We start from the raw sequence: 23611 nt of genomic DNA, 5'->3' as shown, positions 1-23611 counted from the left end.
GAGACGGACGGATGAGGATTTGTTAGAGGCACAATTTAGAGGGAACAACATGAGGGCTTGAGGGTGAGGAAATGGGTTGGTAGAATGAGGAAAGCAAGGCGAAGCCCGTGAGGCAGGGAGGGAAATCAGAAGTTTGAGCCGCCTACATGATAATCAAATGGAAACATCTGGCTGGACCCAAGAGTCAGGAGCTCAGAAGAGAGGTGGAGACTCAATACATCAATGTGGGAAGGGATGGGAAAGAACAGAGACAGATTTCCGATAGAAGCCTTGCTAAAGCCAAGCTTCTGCTGCAACCTTCCCTGGGCACTGCTCTTTCACGTTGGCAGCTGTCTTGAAGGCAGCGTAGTCTGCATTTGCTTTAGGAGTGGCGACCGGTTGCACAAATCATTTGTTCATATCCACGTGCTCTTAAAATGCCAAGCATCATGTTTCCAAATCATGGAGGCACAGGACAAACTGCAGATCCCTAAAAGTCACTTTTAAAGAAGAGTCACCTTTGGCCAGGCATGGTGGCTCATGCCTGTAATCCCAGCACTTTGTGAGGCAAAGGCGGGCAGATCACCTGAGGTCAGGAGTTGAAGGCCAGCCTGGCCAACATGGCGAAATCCCGTCTCTACTAAAAACACAAAAATTAGCTGGCATAGCAGTGGGCGCCTGTAATCCCAGCTACTCGGGAGGCTCAGACAGGAGAATCATTTGAATCCCAGGTGGAGGTCATAGTGAGCCGAGATTGTGCCACTGCACTCCAGCCTGGGTGACAGAGGTAGACTCTGTCTCAAAATAAATAAATAAATAAGAGTCACCTTTACAGTTTTATCATTTAACCCTGTTTTTTGACCTTCTGAGTATAAACTGAAAGGCAAAGTAACAGTTGCACAGAATTGAAACTATTATGACTGCTAGAAACTGACCTTGGCAAACACTTAAGACCATGGCAAACAGTCTTAAAAAGCAATAGCATGGTTTTAAAATGTTTAAGGCTGACTGTTGAAAAATAAGTACAAATTCAAGCATGAGGTCATCTCATATTTGATGCACAAAATCTAGAACAGAAGTCAAGCAGTATCAGTAAAAGTACCACCTGTTTAACTTGTGAAAAAAATGTTTTTACAAATTTGATTTCTAAGCAAAAATTACTTGGCAAAAGTAAAGTGAAGTGGAAGAAGAAAAAAGGGATCTGTTTTTCTATCAAGCTCACAATCATTGCTCTTAAACTGTAATTAGTTTAAGTCCTCCGGCCAGCTTTCTACAAGCCCTGAGGTCTTTCCACTCCACATAATATCCAATTGTGATCATCCCTGAGCTACTACACAATCTGGGATTTTGTTGCTTCAAAGTCAAAGGCAATGAGCTGGGGGTCACAAAGCTTCATCAGGAGACTCTCTAATAATGGAGAGAAGGGCAATAAATAACTACGTTCCTCCCGGGTAAAACTGTGTCACCACCTTGACCTCAAGCCTACCACAGACTGCTCTCGGGGCCTGCTGTTTCCCTCCCTGTATCCTGCTGGAACCTACCCCATCTGTACCAGCTTCTGCAGCAGTTGTTCTGTCTAGCTTTACATAGAGTATGTGAGCTCAGAGGAGAGGTAAAGACTCAAGATAACAACGTGGGAACCTCCTTCACTGTGTTTGCACAGACTATGAAGACTTCCCCTCAGTAAAATAACCAGCTGCTTGAAAAGTAAGTTGTCCTTTCTACTCTGGGCAACTGGCTAAACGACAGAGGAACAGAGAAGGAATTTCTGAGGAGAAAGGAAACTGTGTGATGGAGGATAAAAATCACAGAACAGACCCAGAAGCTGGAAAATACTTAACAGAATAAAGTGATATTCTAATTTCTGTATGACAGCATAGAAAAAGACAAGCTCACTGAAAAATTTCTGGATATACCACATTAAAATATATTCCATATTTATTCAGAATATCATAATCAATGCAAACACAGAACTCTCTTCTCACCTGTAAAAGTTAAGTACAATACTATGGGCTAGATACATAATATTTCAGTCGAGTCTTCAGTATTAGCTTGTAAAAACAAAATCTACAATTATAGATATCCATCATACAAAATATATATACAAAAGCATAATTGTAGTGTAGAAAGATAAAGTTAACAAAATACAACTTATGTAATTTACTTTACACAAAAATGTATTCTAGTTAATTTTTTCCAAGAGCTTCACCAATTAGTCGAATAGCAATACTCTTGCCTTCATCTGTTTGAATGACAAGCAAAGCTTCAAATTTGCCTGCGGACTTCGGTTTGAACTGCACGGGCATGTTGATGTAATGCTGGGCTCTGGAAAGAGAGAGGCACATGACAGCAGCATGTCATGACAGCACCCGTGACCCTGTCCCAGGCAGCACAGTGCCTGGCTCAGGTGTTGAGGAAAGAGCTCGGTCAAGCCACATTCAGCTTAAATGTATTTATGATTTCTTGGATGCTATTATTTAATGAGAAAATAACACAAAGGAGAGAAAAACGTAAAATTGGATTAAAACAGTATTGCATACGTATGTATTCCTGGCTATCCAGTAACTATTAATATATAAAAAGGAAAATAAGAGGTCTAAACTATCATACATACAGCTTTGTATACTGCCTGCAAAAACTATCTACCTAAGAAAGGGTTCGGGAACACCCTAAATGCCCGTTTTACTCAGTCCAGACAGCATATTGCACTGGAAAGATTAAAACAACTTGTCCCAACCCTATCATTAATGGGCTGTGCAGTTTTTGCTCTAAAATTCATATGATCCTTTTTTTTTTGAGACGGAGTTTCACTCTTGTAGCCCAGGCTGGGGTGTAATGGCATGATCTTGACTCACTGCAACTTCTACCTCCCAGATTCAAGCAATTCTCCTGCCTCAGCCTCCTGAGTAGCTGGGATTACAGGCGCCCATCACCGCACCCAGCTAATTTTTGTATTTTTAGTAGAGGCGGGGTTTCACCATGTCGGCCAGGCTAATCTCAAACTCCTGGCCTAAAGTGATCCACCCGCCTTGGCTTCCCAAAGTGCTAGGATTACAGGCATGAGCCACCATGCCCGGCCGGAAACTTTCATCAAAAATATTCTAGAAACTTTACTTTCAGATTACAGTATATAGAGGCAGGTAACAAGTGCCCTATGGTTAAAAACAGTATTCTAGGGGGTTTGTTTTTGTCCCTAAAACTATGTCCTAAGAGCTTCAAAATACACCTCAAAATATGCAATTTAACAAGTTATTCACAGTGTGAATGAGGCTACAAACACATTACACACAGCCCATGTGATGTCATCAACGTCTAGGCTTAGGCGTTTTTAAGTGAAAGTTCTGAGCTCACAGGGAAGGTACTTCACCCCTTAGTCTCGTCTCAGAGCTGTGTGTTTTAAAGACTGGCAACCAGAAGTGATGTACGTTTCGGTTTCCAGCATCTGTCCTGAAAATCCCAGCAGTGTCGCTCTTGGGTGCACAAGAGTACACCGGGCATGAGGTTTAGAAAACAGCTTCAGTATTTCAAAGCCCTTTTCCTGGATATAACTGATAACACAAATAGTGTATGTTCTTAAATATATCTATATAGAGCAAAGGTGTGTATGTGTATCTCTATATGTTTTTATTTAAAGTCTGGGTTATTTTCCCCAAATGCATTACATTTGTTTTACCATGTCAAAGATAATGTACTTTTTAAAAAAAATCTAACCTGGCCCATGGCATTAGCTACAATTTTCTCTTGCATGTTGGTGGTCAATACTTGGATAAATATAGTACCATTTGCCTATTTAAGAGGCTTTATAACTTATGAATTAGTAAAAATAATAAAATAGCCCCAAAAAAATCTCTGGAAGAACTCATTATTAATAAATTTCATCACAGAATATAGAATTGTTCTATATTAACCTGAAAATTTAAGTATATTGTGATTAAAAATATATCATCTGCTTTAGATTTACAGATACACTGAATAAAATGGAATGCAATTTAGAAAGAACCACAACATTTAATACAGCTATAGAACACTCCCAGCAAGATGGATATATTTTAAAAAGTACTTTGTAATACTATTATTGAGAACTAATTTAATCTCTACACACACACACACACACACACACACACGGGAAAAGGTAGCAGGAAAGTCCTCTGAACCCAGTGGGGAGGTCTAGTTCAGATCCTCTCTCTAGCTAATGATAGATGTAATTGCAAAGGCACGCAGAGCAGAAATGCATCTAGGGAGCAGAGAGGCCATCAGGCTGTGCACACTCAGCCCCCAACTCCCTGCAGGCCCCATCTACATGGAAAGGGCTTAGTGGAACCTACAAATTCTAGCAACCACACTTCCTTCCTTCCTTTCAAAACATTTTTTTTTTTCAGACGGATTCTCGCTCTGTCGCCCAAGCTGGAGTGCAGTGGCACGATCTCAGCTCACTGCAACCTCTGTTTCCCTGGTTCAAGCCATTCTCCTGCCTCAACCTCCTGAGTAGCTGGGACTACAGGCATATGCCACCAGGCCCGGCTACTTTGTTTTTTTGAGACGGTGTCTCGCTCTTTTGCCAGGCTGGAGTGCAGTGGCACGATCTCGGCTCACTGCAACCTGTGCCTCCCAAGTTCAAGCGATTCTTCTGCCTCAGCCTCCTGAGTAGCTAGGATTACAGACATGCGCCACCTTGCCCAGCTAATTTTTGTATTTTTAGTAGAGACGGGGTTTCACCATGTTGGCCAGGATGGTCTTGATCTCTTGACCTCGTGATTCACCCGCCTCCGCCTCCCAAAGTGCTGGGATTACAGGCATGAGCCACCGCGCCTGGCCTGCTTTTTGCATTTTTAGTAGAGACAGGGTTTCACATGTTGGCCAGGCTGATCTTGAACTCCTGACCTCAGATGACCCGCCCGTCTTGGCCTCCCAAAATGTTGGGATCACAGGCATGGGCCACCATGCCCGGCCCAAAACATTTTTTTAAAGGAACAGTTTCCACAGAAAAAAAGCCAGTACACTAGCACATACAAGGTACCACCATTATCAAAGAAACTGAAAAAGGTAATAAAATTTGTTCCCACACATGGGTGAGAAGTCACTGCAGCTCAATGATAACTCTATTCCTTGGCTTGTCACTTTTCTAGGAACTGTCCTTCTCTCCCAAATGACATGCAGGGTCTGCCAGGATTGTGCACCTTGCACTGTGCAAGGACATGAGGGCACAGTTGAGGTGGAACCTATTAGCTACAACACCTCAGCTGGGGTTAGATGGTCATAAAATAATAGGTTAAGAGAAAGATGCTTTTGGGGACTAAGTAGAAACATAAATTCTTTTAAAAAAGATATAAGAAAGAGATGATCTCTCAGAACCCTCAAAAAAGAACCTTTACAAGAAAACCTGTTAGTAATGTTTCCTTTTCCCTATAACCTTACTTATAATCTATCATACATTCGTGTTCACCCACCTCTGCACTGAGCAAAACCCCTGTACCTTCTTGGGGGAACTCTTCTGCCTCCTTAAGCTAGAATCAGCTTACAGCCTGTAAGGAGCAGCCACTTTCCTGTGCTAGTGCTGGAGCTTTCGGAGAGCAGCCCCACCAGGCCTTCCGGTGGCCTTGGAAAAAGTGCATATTTGTAAGTAATCATCTCCTGTACCCTACAGATGACTACAATCCTATTATTGCTTTGGAAATGTGTAGTTAATGGTGTCATAGAGCACACAGTGATCTAACAAATGAAAAATGTGATTAACTAAAGGCTGGGAATTGCTTCTCAGGGCTTTAAGAACACAGATTTTGTTGCACTGCCAAGGCAAGCTAACTGCTGCTCTCATCTGGCAATTATGTATTGTGAACCTTTGTCTAAAGTCACAGTGTCTCGTGTCTGGGACAAATACAATAGCACACAATGCCGTAAGTCCCCATGACTTCAGTTCTGTGGTAAGAACTGTCACTGGGGTTCCTGTGGTATCTGCCTCTACTGTCCTGCTGCTTCTCCAAGGTCAACACAGGTCATTCTCTGTTACAAAGGAGCCAGTGTTTCCACCTTTCTTTGCGTAAAATAAAGTTTCCTATAACCCAGAGTTTAGTTCATTTAGTTAAACAGATCACAGAATTAGTGCTTTATACACATGATTTTCTTACTCATACTTTACCAAATTTACAATGAACTGCTGCTATTAAAGCTATTGCTGAAATCAGTACTATTATGCATTTACCCTGTAGTCCTATAGTGATAGTTAATATCGATGCAGACTTTCTGGAAACTCACCATAATCAGAATAACTTAAGTGTCCGCCACTAATAGAGTATAAAATTATTTCATTCAAATTTATCTTCAAAGCATTAAAGTTTTAAAAGATTTAAATATGTTCAGAGTATAAACTATGCACCTTGCAATACTATTTTAAATGCTAACTTAATTGAACTGTCCAAATTTTGCTTAATTTAAAAATATTTTCTCACGTTTCTAAGTTCCTTCAGATGCCATTAATGTGACACAGGCTGCACAGGAATGCAGGGCTGTAATTTATGACTCTTAATTTCAAGCACTGGAGCGGCAAGTCTACAAGTTAACGTCCACAAAAATGTCTACTTTTACATGACCAGCAAGGAACACATTTCATATCTCAAAAGTGGTTTATAGAACACAAGTTGAAGCTAAGCAAAATGTCATCTCATTTATAAAATTTGAGTTTCTCATTAAAAATGTTTTAGGCATCTTTCAAAAATCCCCTTATCTGATTTCCACTCAGTTGGTCTTGTCCCTACACTCCATATCAGAAATAGACTCTGCCATCTGTAGCACTATTGTGATGAAATAGGTTTAGGTTCTTTCTCTGGAAAGAGTCAAATCTGAATTGGCCCACAAATTTTGGCAGAAATGCAATTCTTTAAAAAAAATCTGTGAAGGCAAATTAAGCAAAGAATATAACATCAAAAAAGAATTTGAAATGACAACGTATTCAATAATGAAAGTTGGAAAATGACTGTTTAACTGCAGGAAAGTTTTGACTGCCTCATACCTAGCCATAAAATGGAGAACAGTGACATAAAGCCATAATTTGACACGTTTATTTTAAATAATGATGCTTTATCAAAACTACAGATGAGGATGAGGTATAGGTAAATATTGTTTTTTTAAAGTTGGTACTAGACTCTTCAAGATAATTTTTTTAAATGAAACTTTGTTTAGAAGCTTTTAAAAATATTTTATTTATTTACTTATTTATTTTTGAGACAGAATTTCACTCTTGTTGCCCAGGCTGGAGTACAGTGGTGTGATCTCAGCTCACTACAACTGCCTCCCAGGTTCAAGGGATTCTCCTGCCTCAGTCTCCCAAGTAGCTGGGATTACAGGCGCCTGCCACCATGCGTGGCTAATTTTTGCAGTTTTAGTGGAGATGGGGTTTCATAATGTTGGCCAGGCTGGTCCAAACTCCTGACCTCACATGATCCGCCCACCTCGGCCTCCCAAAGTGCTGGGATTACAGGTGTGAGCCACCACACCCAGCCTAAAAAATATATTTTTTAAGGTAAGAAGAGCTCCTTGAAATAAAAATCTAAAGTCCCTCCAATTTGTGACAGATGTATGCCAGTTTGAACAGAAGTATTCCATTGATCCACTGCATGTTTAAAAATATACCCTGCAAAAAGCTGGTGAAGATGTGGGATGTGAACCAATCTGAGGAAGCAGAATGAATAATGCAGTTATGATAAAATTTGAGTTTAGATAATAACAGTGTTCAGGATAATTTATTCAGTATCTATTTGTACTCAGTTACTAAAAACAGTTACAACAATTAGAAATTTAAATGATCTTTTTCTGAATAAACTAATTGCCTCTGCAGTTGTGCTACCATGTATTTTAGTAGTTCCAACCTATTATTACGCACACTAGAGCATCACTAGTCTCAAATCAATTGGGGCAGCCTACAATAACTGGAGATCCACAGACTACTATGAGAGGAGAACTTGGAGAACAGAAGTTGGAAAACTTGGATTTGGCTGATTTTTAAACTTGGGCCTTTCTCTTCTATGTAGTTGTCATAGGGATTAAATGAAGACACACTGATAATAAAATGAGGTTCTATCAAAATCTGTAGAGTGAGTGTTGATGCATCCTGCCAGCCAAGGTCACCTACAGGGGAGATTTAATGATGATGATGATGATGATGTTAACACCTGACGCTTGCTATGTCTGGGCATTATTACCACGTCTCTTACATTCCTCACAATTCTATGCTGTCAGTAGCTAGCACTGGCATCTCCATTTTACAAATAAGGAAATTGAGGCCAAAGAGTTTATCAAGTTTATGATAATTTTTAGATGTATTCATTGTTGAATTTTCAGAACTAAAATCTATAGTTTGTGCCTTTAGGTCAGTCTCCTGGGAGGGAAAGGAAGGGTTTAGCCCTCAAGCATATTAAAACATTTTATAGTCCATAGGAGAAGGAAGAGGTGGTGTGAGAGATAAACGAATAAAAAGAAAGAGTAAGGTGGAAGGAACAGTCCTCAATCGAGCCATCTTTCCAGTATCCAGGGCTGTGAGCTTCAACTGTACAGCACCGCTGGTCTTAGTAAGTGCATAAATGGCAGGCCTAGAATGTTTGCAGAGTGGTCCAAATTTTCATAGAATAGAACACGTTTCTGGAATAGTCTCCTAATGCTAAAATGAGAGACTTTACAATAATTAAATGACTTAAAGATTCAAAGATGAAATTAAAATTATTCTTCAGCATTAAGCCCAACAGAACCCTAACTATTAAGTTCTAAATAACAGTGACAACCCAGTTCGAGGTTCAACCTAAATGTGCATCATATAGAAAAGAAAATTAGCAAGAGCGACAAGAAAATGAGGCCCTGATTAAGAACAGTAAGGAGTGTCTAAAGAATGGCAACTGGAAAACACCACAATAAAAGTTTTCCCAATTAACTCGGAAAGGTTTTTGTCCCAGTTAATGAAAATCTAAGTCCTTGACTCTCAGCATACCAGTGCAAATAACATTTGAAAGAGGAACTACTCTAAAAGTCAATCTTAAGATAATTACAGCTCTAAGATTTATGTGGCTGCAAATCCTGGGTGGGAGGAGTCACACCAGCCCAAATGCTGTGCACTGTGGCACCGCTGAGTGCACCACGGACGGTCAGGAGCTGTCCCCCTGCAGGCTCCTTTTCTCTGCTTCTACTTGCGGAGACTCTGCCTAATGCTGTTTGGTGCTGGTGAGGAATATGGAGGACCTGCAGCAGAGGAGACCTCACAAGCCCCAACTCCCAAGAGACGAAAGTCCTGCATCGCTGATGAGAACACTGTGATCTGCGATAAACTTACCTCAAAGAGTACTTGGAATGTTTGACATAGAATGGCTCTCTGGGACTCAAAAACTTCAGCTGGAATTTAATAGAAGACACTTTATAAAGTTATGAAAATTAGATCTTTTAGCATATATAAGCATACCAAGCATTTATTTATTACAGATACATTTTGTAAATTTAGGTATTGCCACAAAATTAGGTAGTACAATAAATGCTAATGTAATGAAAACATATTTAAGAAAATTTTAACATGAATTTAATCTAGTTTTAACTAAAGTAAAGGTTGTCCAGAAATATGTGTGTATAATAGTACAGAAGAAAAAGAAAAAGTTAAAAATTAAAATATAAAACAAATTTTTGATTTTCAAGTAAAGGGTTATAAACTTCCAGTGAGTTTATGTTCAAATAAAATACTAAGGAATTTCTGGGCGGATGGGGGCAGGGTCTTGCTCTGTCACCCTGGCTGAAGTGCAGTGGCACAATCATGGCTCACTGCAGCCTCAACCTCCCAGCCTAAAGCGATCCTCTCAGCTCAGCCCCCACAAGTAGCTGGAACTACAGGTACCTGCCACCATGCCCGGTTAATTTTTTTTTTTTTTTGGTAGAGATGGAGTCTCACTATATTGCCCAGGTTGGTCTCAAACTCCTGGGCTCAAACAATCCTCCTGCCTTGGCCTCCCAAAGTCCTGAATTACAGGTGTGAGTCACTGCACCTGGCCTTATATTGCATTTTTAAAAATTACTTCATTATGGCCGGGCGTGGTGGCACACGCCTGTAATCCCAGCACTTTGGGAGGCCGAGGCAGGCAGATCATGAGGTCAGGAAATCAAGACTATCCTGGCTAACACGGTGAAACCCCGTCTCTACTAAAAATACAAAAAATTAGCCAGGCGTGGTGGCGGGCACCTGTAGTCCCAGCTACTCAGGAGGCTGAGGCAGGAGAATGGCATGAACCCGGGAGGTGGAGCTTGCAGTGAGCCGAGATCGCACCACTGCACTTCAGCCTGGGCGACAGCGAGACTCCATCTCCAAAAAAAGAAAAATTACCTCATTCTTACAACTTAAATATAGTCTACAGAATCATCAGGAAAATGTTTGTTATCAGAGTTGAATGCATGTATTTTTCCAAAACCCATAGTAATATTTCCAACTTACTGAGTGTGTAATAAAAGAATTATTTCGCAGATTGACTTTAAGTGTCCGTGATTCCCCCACACTAGTCGGCCGGAACCTGTACACATCCTCTGGGGCATAAACTCCACGAGCAGTCACATCAAGCTGCCTGCTTTGGGAATAGGTGTAAAAGTTAAGAATCTGAAATCCACAGTAACTTAAACTGTTTTTATATATTAAAATTATGTAGTATTGCATTAATTTATGTTTTCCTGGTGATTTATTTTCAAATATAAGTTTTGTAATGACGACTTATCTAATTTATGTGAAGAGGATGACAGCAGGAATCCTCTCATAAAGGGTGCTGGATAGGCCTCACTCTCCTCACAGCCTGGGTCTCTACCTGCCAGAAGCCCAGTTTGTATGAAGGTGGCCCTTTACCTCAGTTCATTTCGCTTGGCCCCGTCACGCTGCAGTACCGACTGTACTTCACTATCACAGGGACACAGGCTGCTCCAAGTGCCTGATGCAGGTGTGGCCTCCAGGCAATGTTTGCTGGTGGTGGCACTGGCTCTTGCCTGGGCTTCCCAAACCCTGCACAGCTGCCTCCCCTTTCTCCGGCCACTCCCGGGTCTCTGCAGGCTCCCCTCCACCCCCAACTCTCTGCACATCTGACCTTCCCCTCACACCTAGCTCGGCACCCCCCAGCAGCCCTATCTATTCAGTCACTACACAATGGTCCCTCAGGATAGCTCAAACACCTTCAGTCTCCACAAATACAAAAATGAACTTGTGATTTTTGTCCTCAAACCTGATCCTCCACTTGTGTTTGCTGAATGGTATCTGGGAGCCGACCCTCTCACAGCCATCCCCTTTATCCAGTCCATTGCAGAGGCCCTCCTATCTCCAGTCTGCCTGTTCTCTTCCTATTCCTTGACACTATTTTACTCCTGGACTCCTTTAAAATAGCCCCTCCTCACCTCCTTCTTATCAGTCATACCACAGCTAGGGGATTGTCCTACACACGCATACCTGATCATGTCACTCCCTGGCTTCCCAGCTCTCCAGAAAAGCAAACACCTCCTAGGCCCAGCTCTGGCCTTGCCCCCCACCACTCCCCTTTCACACTGAACTTCTCCTGGGAACTTCTCCGACCCTCCTCACCTAGGCCGTTTCCACTCATCCTCCTCAACTTAAATGTCCCCTTTCAGGGAACTCCTTCCCAGGTTTCACAGACCAAGCTGCCTCTGTCACTTCTCCCAGTTTCTCGTTTGTTTCCCCGCAGCCCGTGTGGGCTCTGGGTTGGCGAGGCTGTGTCTCCAGAAGGGAGCTGTGGAGGCGCGGGGCTCAGAGAGCAAGAGAGAAGCAAGGGATAACAGCCTGGAGGGAGTGTGCCAAGAACATGCATTCATTAAAGGGCTCTAATTTCTTCCAAATGCATTATTGGCTCCCATTAAAAAATAAATGACTAAATTTATATTAAATTCAGCAGATATTTAACATATATTGTCCTTCCAGGCATCCTCCTCAAGAACTTAATTAGACCTAATTACTAGTTAATTAAGGATTATAAGAAATATTTTCATAAGGTAGAATACTAAATAATATTCTCATTAAAGCTATATATGCGGCTGGTATAAGTTTTACATTTTAAAGCTTTTTAAGAATCTACTTTCATATGCTGCTTATGGGAACATAAAATGGTACAACTATTTAGGGAAAACTATTTGGCAGTTTATTTTAAAGTTCAACACATGGTTATCATGTGACCTCGCAATTGTGGGTAAAAGTAGGTATTTTTACTAAAAAGTAACGAAAATGTATGTCATCTTTAGAAATGCACATACAGTAATATTCATAGCACCTTAATTAATAATCATTCCAAATTATAAGACATCCAAAAGTCAACAGGAAAATGAATAAACTGTGATACGTTCATTTAATGGAATACTAAACAATAAAAAGGAATGAACTATAGGTACATTCAATAACATGAATGGATTTTTAAAAATAGTATGTTGAGAAAAAGAAGCCAGACACAAAGAATATATACATACATATGTATATATATGAAGTTCAAGCAAAATGAATCTATGATGACAGAAATCAGAACAGGACAAATCTTGACTGCAAAGGGACACGTAAGAACTTTCTGGGCGAGAGGAATATTCTGTATCTTGGTTGGAGTGCTGGTAACACATGTGAACTCAGGTAAAGTCATCGAGCATTTTACTGACTCTATTCCTCAATAAAGTACTGGGAAAAAACTCATAAGAATGACAAAAACAACATACTCAGGTATGCGAGCAGAAGCCTCTGACACAGCTTGTCTTCGGGGCTTAACTAAATGATCTATTTTAATGAGGGAATCCGTGGAAAGGCATGCGTTTTCAGGCTCATTTTCTGCTTCGATGCTCTATACAGAAAAATCACAGGGTAACGGAGAAGAAATAAAAACTAAGAAAATATATGGACATTTACTTATTTGAATTCTATCATTTCCTTTAAAAATTTTTAAAAGGCAATTTAAGATTTTTAAATCCCCTAAATTGCAAGCTCTGTACTCTGTCCTGCCTGGTTCCTCTCTCTCATGTGCCCATGTGCATACATGATGCACACGCACAGAGTTTCTTATATAACTAAGTCAAACATGGGTTTCATGGGCTGTATGAACAATACAGCCAAATCCAGTCCTCAAACATGCCAATTAATAAAGACAAACAAGAAAATTAAGATTATGGGGCTATATTCTGCATTTTCAGGCCAACTTTTCTTATTAATTTCCCTTTCTGTTTTTAAAATACATACAATAATTTACTTAAATTCAGTGTACTACTCACTTGTCCAGAGAGTTGGAATCTCAACGTGTGTTTCATGTGAGGCTCCTTAAGAGGGTGACATTCAACATCCCAAAACTGGGCATAATCCCCCCTACCTCTGGGCAAAAATGTGATGGAGACCTACGAAATACATACAGAAGAGAAATTTAGACACTGATCATTAAACACAGTGTTAGCTAGATCACCAGTTCAAAGATTTGGTATGAAAAAAATTAAAGGAACAAATGCTTTTGCACTGGCTAGTTTTGCCATTAATTGAAAGAATTTGGACAATTTCATTTCTAGCGGGTTACTATACCAGATCCAAAACACATTTTTGCTTAAGGCTTTATATAACATATTTCTTAAAATGTACAATAAATGCTTTACTGTGGGGGGAAATGTTATCAGAAAGCACTAAAGCTGTGAAGCACAACACCTACACGAGGAAGGTCCAACCACAGACCCGCAATTGTCTTCCCTTGTGTGCTTATGGAACCCTCTGCTGGCCAAGCAGTACCAGGACAAGGGCCTCACAGCGGCCAGGAGCTGTAGAGGACTGACAACAGTGAGGGGGGCGGCGGCTACAGGAGGCAGAACAAGACAAGCGCCAGACGCTCCACAGTGGCAGCTCGCATTATGATTAGCTTCCAAATGTCAGTCAGCCAGTGACCCTGGGCACATAGCTCAGTGATAAACACCCTGCATGTGTACAACCTGTAAAAAGCTCAATCATGAGAAAACTGTAATGTTTAAAAACAGCATTTTATAACAATTACCAATATTAAGAGCCTTAGCTTTATCAAATAATTTAGTGTTGATAATACTGATCACTTAACAATGAATCAGTTAACAATGAATCAGGTTAACAACAAATCAGTATTCCTGAGTCTGGACTTAAACATTAAAACACATAGGTGGCCTAATTTCTGCCCACGCAGAACCTTAAACATAATAACCCAGCCAGCCTGAGCTCAAGGCTTTTGAGAGCCTGGAGGCAAAAGCAGGACTGGTCAGGGAGAGGAGAGCATCTGACTAGAGAATTACACCACCAGGGGCTTGGACACTAAGAAGATGAAGGAAGGAAAGGGTGAAAAACAAAGGAATGGGTAAAAACCACCACTGGGGACTACGGGACTATAAAATCCTAACTATACCCCTTCAAATACCAAAAACACAACATAACACAGGAGGGGAAAACTAGTATTACTGCATGTTACACCCTAGGCACATACTGGGAACTTTAACATTCAGTATCTCAGCTAATCCCCTGGAAAGCAGGCTCTACTTTCTCTCTATAGATCTGCCTGTCCTAGACATTTCACATAGATAGAATCACACATCTGTGGGCTTCTGTGACTGGCTTCTTTCACTTAGCATAATGTTTTCAAGGTTCACCCATCTGGATATAGCATGTAGCAGTAACTCCATTCCTTTTCACTGCCAAATAATATTTCATTTTACAGATATACCAGATTTTGTTTATCGACCCATCAGACATTTGGGTGATTCCCACTTTTTTGTCTATTGTGAATAACACTGCTGTGAACACTTGTGAACAAGTTTTTGTTTGAAAATCTGCTTCAACTTTTCTAGTGTATATCCAGAAGTGGAACTGCTGGGTCATGCAGTAATTCTATGTTTGGCTTATTGAGAAACTGCCAAATTATTTTCCATAGCGGCTGTACCATTTCACATACCCTCCAGCAATGCATCAGGGTTCCAATTTCCCCACATCCTCACCAACACCTGTTATTTTCTGTTTTTTTAAAACTCACAGCCATCTTAGTGGGTATTAAGTGATACTTCATTTCTCGTTTTGATTGCATTTTGCTAATGACTAGGAATTCTAAGCATCTTCTCACATGTTTATTGACCACTTGTATGTTTTCTTTGGGAAAATGTCTATTCAAATCCTCTGCTCACTTAAAAAATTGGGCCATTTCTTTTTACTGGGTTGTAAGAGTTCTTTACGTATTCTGGATACAAGTCCTTTGTCAAATACATCATTTGCAAATTTTTGTCCCTATTCTCTGTCTTTCATTGTCTTGATGGTGTTGTTTGAAGCACAGATCTTTTTGATTTTGATAATTCACCTATTTTCTCTTTTGTGGCTTGTGCTTTACTGGTGTCAAATCTAAGAAACCAATGCTTAACCTAAGGTCATGAAGATTTATTCCTATGTTGTCTTTTAGAGGTTTTATAGCTTTAGGTCTAATGTTTATGGTCTATGGTTGATTTTCGGTGAATCTCTGTATATGGTACTAGGTAAGTGTGATGGTTAATATTAGGTGTCAACTCAGGCCGGGCACGGTGGCTCACGCCTGCAATCCCAGCACTTTGGGAGGCCAAGGCAGGTGGATCACAAGGTCAGGAGATCGAGACCATCCTGGCTAACATGGTGAAACCCCCATCTCTACTAAAAATACAAAAAATTAGCCAGGCGTGGTGGTGGGCACCTGTAGTCCCAGCTACTCGGGAGGCTGAGACAGGAGAATCACTTGAACCCAGGAGGCAGAGGTTGCAGTGAGACGAGATTGAACCACTGCACTCCAGCCTGGGCAACAGAGTAAGACTCCATCTCAAAACAACAACAAAACCCCACAAATATTAGGTGTCAACTCAATTGGATCAAAGGAGGCCTAGATGGCTGCTCAGTATTGTTTCTGGGTGTGTCTATGAGGGTGTTGCCAGAGGAGACTGACATTTGAGTCTGTGAACTGGGAGAGGAAGGCCCACCCTAATGTGGGTGAGCACATCCAATCAGCTGCCAGCAGGCTAGAAGAGGCAGGTGGAAGAAGGTGGGATAACCTTGCTTGCTGAGTCTCTTGGCTTTCATTTTTATCCCGTGCTGGATGCTTCCTTCCGTTCCTCCTGCCCTTGGAAATCAGACTCCAAGTTCTTCAGCCTTTGCACTCTGGGATTTACATAAGTGTTTGGCCAGGGGCCCTCTGATAGTCAGTTTGGCCACAGACTGAAGGCTGCACTGTTGGCTTCCTTCTTTTGAGGCTTTTAGACTCAGACTCAGCTGCTACTGGCTTCTTTCTTCCCCAGCCTGCAGATGGCCTATCGTGTGACTTTGCCTTGTTAATAATGTGAGTCAATTCTCCCTAATAACCTCCCTTTCATATATACATATATCCTATTAGTTCTGTCCCTCTGGAGAACCCTAATACAGTAAGGGTCTACCCTAATTCTTTTGCATGTGGCTATCCAGTTCTCCCAGGCACTATTTGTTGAAAAATATTCTTTCCCCATTGAACTGTCTTGGTGCCCTTATTAAAAAAAAAAAAAATCAATTGATTATAAATATTAGGGTTTATTTTGGGACTCTCAATCCTATTCCATAGTTCTGTGGAACTGTCAATACCACACTGTTTTGTGTAATGTGGCTTTGTAGTAGGCTTTGAAAGCAGGGAGTGTGAATCCTCCAATTTTGTTCTATTTCAAGATCGTTTGATTATTCTAGGTCTCTTGTATATCTATATAAATTTCAGAATCAGCCTTTCAATTTTAAAACAAAACCCAGCTGGATTTATTTCTAAATTAGTTTTTCTGTTTTATTTAACGAAATTTAGATTTTAATTACAACTGTGCACTAAATCTTAGAATGAACAAAGAATAAAGTGGGCTTAGATTTTGGTGCAATTTTTTTGCAGGGCAGGGGACAAAGTTATACAATGGTATAAGGTGTATAAATTCTCAGGACAACCCATAAAGACCATTTTGGAAAACATATTCGAGGGGTTCATGAAAGAGGCATTTTAGAAGTCTTTGATACTTAAGTCATTCTTTTTGCAACACATTTATTTACCTTTAATTCTTTTAAAGTTTTTTTGAATTTTTAACTAATCTCATTCTGCTAGATTCTCACTTGACAAATGCTTTTCGTGTAAAATTGTCTCTTTCCTGCCTTGGTCAATTTTGCCAAAGGTTTGTCTATTATTATTATTTTTTCCAAAAAAGCAGCTTTGGAGATGTTAATCTTCTCTCATTTCTTTAATTTTACTATGTTTTGCTTTAGAACTTTTTTTTCTTCTTTCTTTGGATTTATTATTTTCACCATTCTTCAAATGACTGCTTAGCTCATTAATTTCAATTTTTTTTCTTTTTAAAATAGATGTATGACACCTGTATCTTTACCACTATGGAAAATGGGCTTATTGTTGTTCCGTTTTCCTTTTTCAACTTTTATTTTAGATTCAGGGGGTACATGCGCAGGTTTGTTACCTGGGTATACTGCACGATGCTCAGGTTTGAGGTATGAATGATCCCATCACCCAGGTACTGAGCATAGTACCCAATAGTTAATTTTTCAGCCCTTTTCCCACTTCCAGTAGTCCCCAGTTTCTATTGCTGTCATCTTTATATCCATGAGTACCCAATATTTAGCTCCAACTTATAAGTGAGAAAATGTGGTATTTGGTTTTCTATTCCCATGTTAATTCATTTAGGATAATCGCCTTCAGCTGTATCCATGTTGCTACAAAGGTCATGATTTGATTCTACGGCTGCACAGTATTCCATGATATACATGTACCAATCCACCATTTCTTCATCCAATCCACCGGTGATCAACGGTGGATTGATCCATGTCTCTGATACTGTGAATAGTGCTGTGATGAATGTGCAAGTGCATGTATCTTTTTAGTAGAACAATCTGCTGTCTTTTGGGTATATATCCAGTAGTGGGACTGCTGGGTTGAATAGTAGCTCTAAGTTCTTTGAGAAATCTCCAAACTGGTCTCCATGGTGGCTGAACTAATTTACATTCACACTAAGTGTATAAGCATTTTTTCTCTGCAGCCTTGCTAGCATCTATTGTTTTTTGACTTTTTGTTTTATTTTTTTGGAGACAGTGTCTCACCCTGTCACACAGGCTGGAGTGCAGTGGCACAATCTCAGCTCACTACAACTTCTGCCTCCTGGGTTCACGTGATCCTTCCACCTCAGCCTCCCAAGTAGGTAGAACTACAGGTGCGTGCCACCATGCCCAGCTAATTTCTGTATTTTTTGTCACCATGCCCAGCTAATTTCTGTATTTTTTGTAGAGACAGAGTTTCGCCATGTTGCCCAGGCTGCTGACTTTTTAATAACAGCCATTCTGACTGCTGTGAGATGGTATCTCATTGCGGTTTTGATTTGCATTTCTTGATGATTAATGATGTGGAGCATTTTTTCAGGTTTGTTGGCTGCTTGTATGTCTTCTTCTGAGAAGTGTCTGTTCATGTCTTTTGCTCATTTTTAATGGGGTGGTTTGTTTTGGGCTTGTTCAATTGTTTTAAGTTCCTTATAGATCCTGGGTATTAGACTTTTGTCAGATGAATAGTTTGTGAATGTTTTCTCCTCTTTTGTAGGTTGTCTGTTTACTCTGTTGATAGTTTCCTTTGCTGTGCAGAAGCTCTTTAGTTTAATTAGGTCCCATTTGTCAATTTTTGTGTTTTTTTATTACAATTGCTTTGGAGAATTTAGTCATACATTCTTTCCCAAGAATAATGTCCAAAATGGTGTTTCCTAAGTTTCCCTCTAGGATTCTTATAGTTTGAGGTCTTATGTTCAAATATTTAATCCACCTTGAGTTAATTTTTATACATGGTGAAAGGCAGGGGTCCAGTTTCATTCCTCTCCATATGGTTAGCCAGCTATTCCAGTACTACTTATTGAATAAGGAGTCCTTTCCCCATTGCTTATTTTTGTTGACTTTGTTGAAGATCAGATGGCTGTAGGTTTGTGGCTTTATTTCTGGGTTCTCTATTCTGTTCCATTGGTTTATATGTCTGTTTTTGTTTTGCTACCATGCTGTTATGGTTACTGTAGCCTTATAGTATTTTTTTTTTTTTTTTGGAGATACTATCTTTATTTCTAATCGCTTTAACTCATTATGAGTTGAAATTAATTTGGAAACAATTATTTTTTAATAAACAAAGTCAGTATCACAGTGCTGTTTGCTCCATTTGAAAACAAACGTCTCTGGATCTCCATAGGAAAAATAAAAACAATTCAATTGGAGGTTACCTAAAACTAGTCCTTGTCATTCAGAATAGCTTCAGGCTGCTCACATCATACATACCTTGGGCATATGCTGAAGAGAAAACAAAAAATCCTGGAGAGATTAATTTAGGTACTTATTCTGATAATTCCTAGCAAAGGATAGCCACTTTTGTCTTCCATGTCCTCTAAGCCTTTTTAGGAACTGATAGTTTGGAGCTAATGAAAACCAAGCTTTCAGATTTCTGAGTCTCATTTAGACAGTCAGTAGACTGTCAGCCCAGAGAGGGACATCAAGTGCTTTCCAAAAACATTCTTTAGTATGAGGTTGTGGATTTGACTATGTTAGAGAGATTGTGAAAACTGAATACAGGAATTTGCTTATTTATTTTATTAAAAAAATTTTTTTGAGACAAGGTCTCACTGTATTGCTCAGCCTGGCTCAAACTCCTGACCTTAAGTGTTCCTCCTGACTCAGCCTCTTGAGTAGCTAAGACTAGAGTCATGCGCCACAGCACCCAACTCTGGAATTAATTTTAAATCCAACTTTGCTACCTGATTGTATGACCTTTGGCAAAATGCTCGCTTAGTTTAAGCCTTACTACCTGTAAAATGGGAATGTGTACCTTTATGAAGATTAAATCTATATATGTACACACACACACACATAACATCTGTTACATGGCAGACACTGCATTAATAATACAGTAGGTAATATTACTGTTAATCGGAGTAGTATTACAGTTTCTTGTGTCTTGCTGGTGTATTTTTCTCAGTGACAGACAGAAAAGATCCAAAGAAAAGGAAACCCAGATAATTTTGGCTACAGTGGATGTTTTATAATAAGCTGTTTTTAAACTACATCTTGTCATATTTAAGCAACGTAGTCAATCATACAATATGATCCCTAAAATTTGTGGGGTGTGGTTGTAGTTGAGGGTTGTGTGGGAGATGATGATGGTAGTTGTCAGTGGTGGTGGTGGTGGTGGTAGCTGTGTGGGGTGTGGTTGTAATTGAACATTGTGCAGAAGATGACCGTAGTTGTAAGTGGGAGTGGTGGCGGTGGTGGTGGTACCTGTGTGGGGTATGGTTGTAGTTGAGGGTTGTGTGGGAAATGGTGACAGCAGTGGTGAGTGGTAGTGGTGGTGGTGGTAGCTGTGTGGGGTGTGGTTGTTATTGAGGGTTGTGTGGGAGATGGGGGAGGTGGTGGTGGTGGTGGTGGTGGTGGTAGGAAATGGTGATGGCAGTGGTGAGTAGTGGTAGTGGTGGTGGTAGTTCTGTGGGGTGTGGTTGTAATTGAGGGTTGTGTGGGAAATGGTGATGGCAGTGGTGAGTGGTAGTAGTGGTGGTGATGGTGGTGGTAGCTGTGTGGGGTGTGGCTGTCACTGAACATTGTGCAGAAGATGATGGTAGTTGTGAGTGGGAGTGGTAGTGGTGGTGGTAGTTGTGTGGGGTGTTGTAGTTGAAGGTTGTGTGGGAGACGGTGATGGTAGTGATGAGTGGTAGTAGTAATGGGGGATCATAGTTGTATATATTTGGTTGAGGTGTGGGAAAAATATGAGCAGAGGTAATTATTCTATAGTATAAAGTCAGGTAGCATGATGCCTCCAGATTTGTTCTTTTTGCTTAGGATTGCTTTTGTTATTCAGGCTGTTTTTTAGCTTCATATGAATTTTAGCATAGTTGTTTCCAGTTTTGTGAAAAATGACGTTGGCAGTTTGATAGGAACAGCATTAACTGTAGACTGCTTTGGGCCCAGCTGGGGTTTTGATTGGGACTGTGCTGAATATGTAGATCAATTTAGGGACTTAACAAGGTTAAGTCTTCTGATCAATTGACATGGGATGTCTTTCTTGTTGGGCTTCTTTTTGCAATACCGCCTCATACACTGAACTTTATTTGAGCAATGTGCTTATCCCCTGTTCTTCTGCTTTGCTTCTGTTGTGGTTTGGGGAATGAACTAAACTACACTTGTAGAACTGTGTGTCTTTCCAAAAAAAGTGAGAAACCCTCTGAAAGCCTGTTATACAGACCCAGTAAAGTGCACAGTTTGCAACAACTGCTACAGCTATTTCAAGATTCTTTTACGGTCAGTTCTGAGTTCACAGCTACATTCTATAACTTACTTTAAGTCTGAATGTCTAATAAATGAGCCAGTAAGTTTCGGCAATTAGAATGAAAAAGTATATTGCTGAGGCCAAGTGAGTGATTAGTGTTATTAGGAGACATTTGAAGGGAATATGTCAGGTATAGAAATGAATTAACATTTAAGAGGGTCATAGTAGCTGGAGGGATCTGTCACCCATGAAGATATACTGTTGACTATGCCACAAATACCGAGCTGTTTTTGAGTAATGGCAGGTTTTTCTGGCTACAGCTGATAGACAAAACTCTCGTCTCCATCAGTGCAGTATGACTGTAAGCACTGGCAGTCTGTGGTCTTTACTGCTAAGTGTGCTGTTTTGTTTAGCTGACCACTTTTTCACACTAAGACTATCTGCTACAGCGCATTGTAAGTGAGGCAGACTCTTCTCTCGTGTGCAGACTGGCTCTGTGAGTAGCACTGCTCCAGGTGAAACAAGCTAAATGGGTGGAATCCAATGAGGCACTCCTGGACAATTTACATGATGTTCCTATGGAAAAAAATATCAAAACCTACTTTTTGGATCCCATGGCTTTCCAGCAGACCAGAAATAGGAGAACATCTGAATGCTGCATAGGTAGCTCTAAAAACATCTCCACTTTCATCAACTCCCTGCAAAGCAATCATTTAAACAAATTAAAAACCATAAAGCCAATGGATAAATCCCACAGAGACACTATTACCTCTATGGCTGCGGAGAACACACCAACACACTTAGCAGTGGACAAAAAGAACACAAGGTATTCCCAAAATGGGAGTGCTACCTGACTGAGCTCTGCAGAAGGCCATCATGCTGACTCACATCACCAAAGGAGAGGTCACACAAGGTGATTTTTATCACTTCCCTGGCTATAGTGATCTTTATAGTGAGGCTCATAATGTCAAACAACTATCTTTTCCTCAAAGACTCTGAAGACCCTGTTGAATGTGCATTTTAATAACTTATGCAATACCAGTTTTTAATTTTTATCTATTTATTTTTTTAAGACAGGGTCTGACTCTGTTGCCTAGGCTGGTGTGCAGTGGCGTAATCATAGCTCACTGCAGCCTCGACCTCCTGGGCTCAAGCGATCCTCCCACCTCAGCCTCCCAAGTAGTTTTTAATTTTTTCACAGTAGGTCCAGAAACTCTTTTTTGTACACATTTTGGTAGTATTATGGCTCAAAACTGTTACTATCACACAAAATACATGGCAGAGAGACCACAGTGTTCTAAACACCACCAATGACACACCCACTGAATTCAGGTGGTACCCTGGTGGAGACTACTGCCATAGATAGTAGGCTAGACTCACTGGCAAAGAGCGCTCAGCTCCGTTTCCTGCACCGCTGGCTGGGAACATATGACAGCACTCAGAACATGAGGGGAAAAGCCATGCATGTGCACATACAATGCTCAGAAATACAATTTTTACATATTTCTCAAAATAAAGTTATTTCAGATAAAATCAGGGCTAGGAGACAGCATTAAATGGAGCAAACATGTATTTCCACACATATTCTCTAATTTGATTCTCAAAACCACCTTGTGAAAAAGACTAGGCATATATCATCCTCATCTAAAGAGAAAACCAACTAAATGAATTGGTGGAACAAATAACCAGCAAGGCCAGGTGCAGCAGCTCACACCTGTAATCCCAGCACTTTGGGAGGCTGAGGTGGGAAGATTGCTTGAGGTCAGGAGATCGAGACCAGCCTGGGCAGTGTGGTGAGGCTCCATCTCTACAAAAAAACAAAAAGTTAGCTGGACATGGTGGTGCACACCTGTGGTCCCAGCCACATGGGAGGCTAAGGCAGGGGATTGCTTGAGCCTGGGAGGTTGAGGCTGCAGTGAGCAGTGTTCATACCACTGCACTCCAGCCTGGGCGACAGAGCAAGACTTTTTTGTCTCAGAAAACAAACAAGCAAATAACCAGTAATATCAACCTATGCTCATAGTCAGTTTTTAGAACATCCTGGATAAAGTCTAAACATTAAAACGATTATATCTGAGGCAGTCATGACTGACCTTGACATAAGGTGGCGCTAAAGATGACAGATGCCATTTCACGTCTGTGGTGCCATGATTCTCGAGTTCTAGACAGCTCTCTAAAAGGAACACATATATCATAACTCAAACTCGGAGAGACTGGAGAACAAGCAGATGACTGTGACAGGCCTAACTACCTCATACTGGGGTTAAAAAACCCCAATCATTAGATCCCTAAAGGAGTTCAACAAGAACCACAGTATTTTCTTTAAAAATCAGGTATGTCAGATATTCTCTTTTAGG

General features: G+C 40.5%; 1 protein-coding gene across 25 annotated transcripts in view; it reads right to left on the bottom strand.

Annotated features, from left to right (window-relative positions):
- Nucleotides 1-1899: 1899 nt before the first annotated feature.
- CEP192 (centrosomal protein 192) overlaps nt 1900-23611 on the bottom strand; it is a 133675-nt gene continuing 111963 nt past the window's right edge. For 9 of the 25 annotated variants that reach the window (XM_005258107.4, XM_011525673.3, XM_005258109.4 and 6 more), the window contains 7 exons: nt 23348-23427; nt 21857-21952; nt 13231-13350; nt 12685-12806; nt 10433-10562; nt 9293-9351; nt 1900-2304 (listed from right to left, as the gene is read on the bottom strand). In XM_005258107.4, the coding sequence (XP_005258164.1) occupies nt 2166-2304; nt 9293-9351; nt 10433-10562; nt 12685-12806; nt 13231-13350; nt 21857-21952; nt 23348-23427 (746 nt within the window). In that variant the 3' untranslated portion in view covers nt 1900-2165. Of the gene's footprint in view, nt 2450-9292; nt 9352-10432; nt 10563-12684; nt 12807-13230; nt 13351-21856; nt 21953-22656; nt 23062-23347; nt 23428-23611 lie in introns of those variants that run through there. The other 16 variants (NM_032142.4, XM_047437563.1, XM_006722327.4 and 13 more) reach the window with 7 other exon arrangements.

Source organism: Homo sapiens, chromosome 18, assembly GCF_000001405.40.
Source record: "Homo sapiens chromosome 18, GRCh38.p14 Primary Assembly".
Taxonomy (NCBI): Eukaryota; Metazoa; Chordata; class Mammalia; order Primates; family Hominidae; genus Homo; species Homo sapiens.
This window is presented reverse-complemented; position numbering and strand designations above follow the sequence as displayed.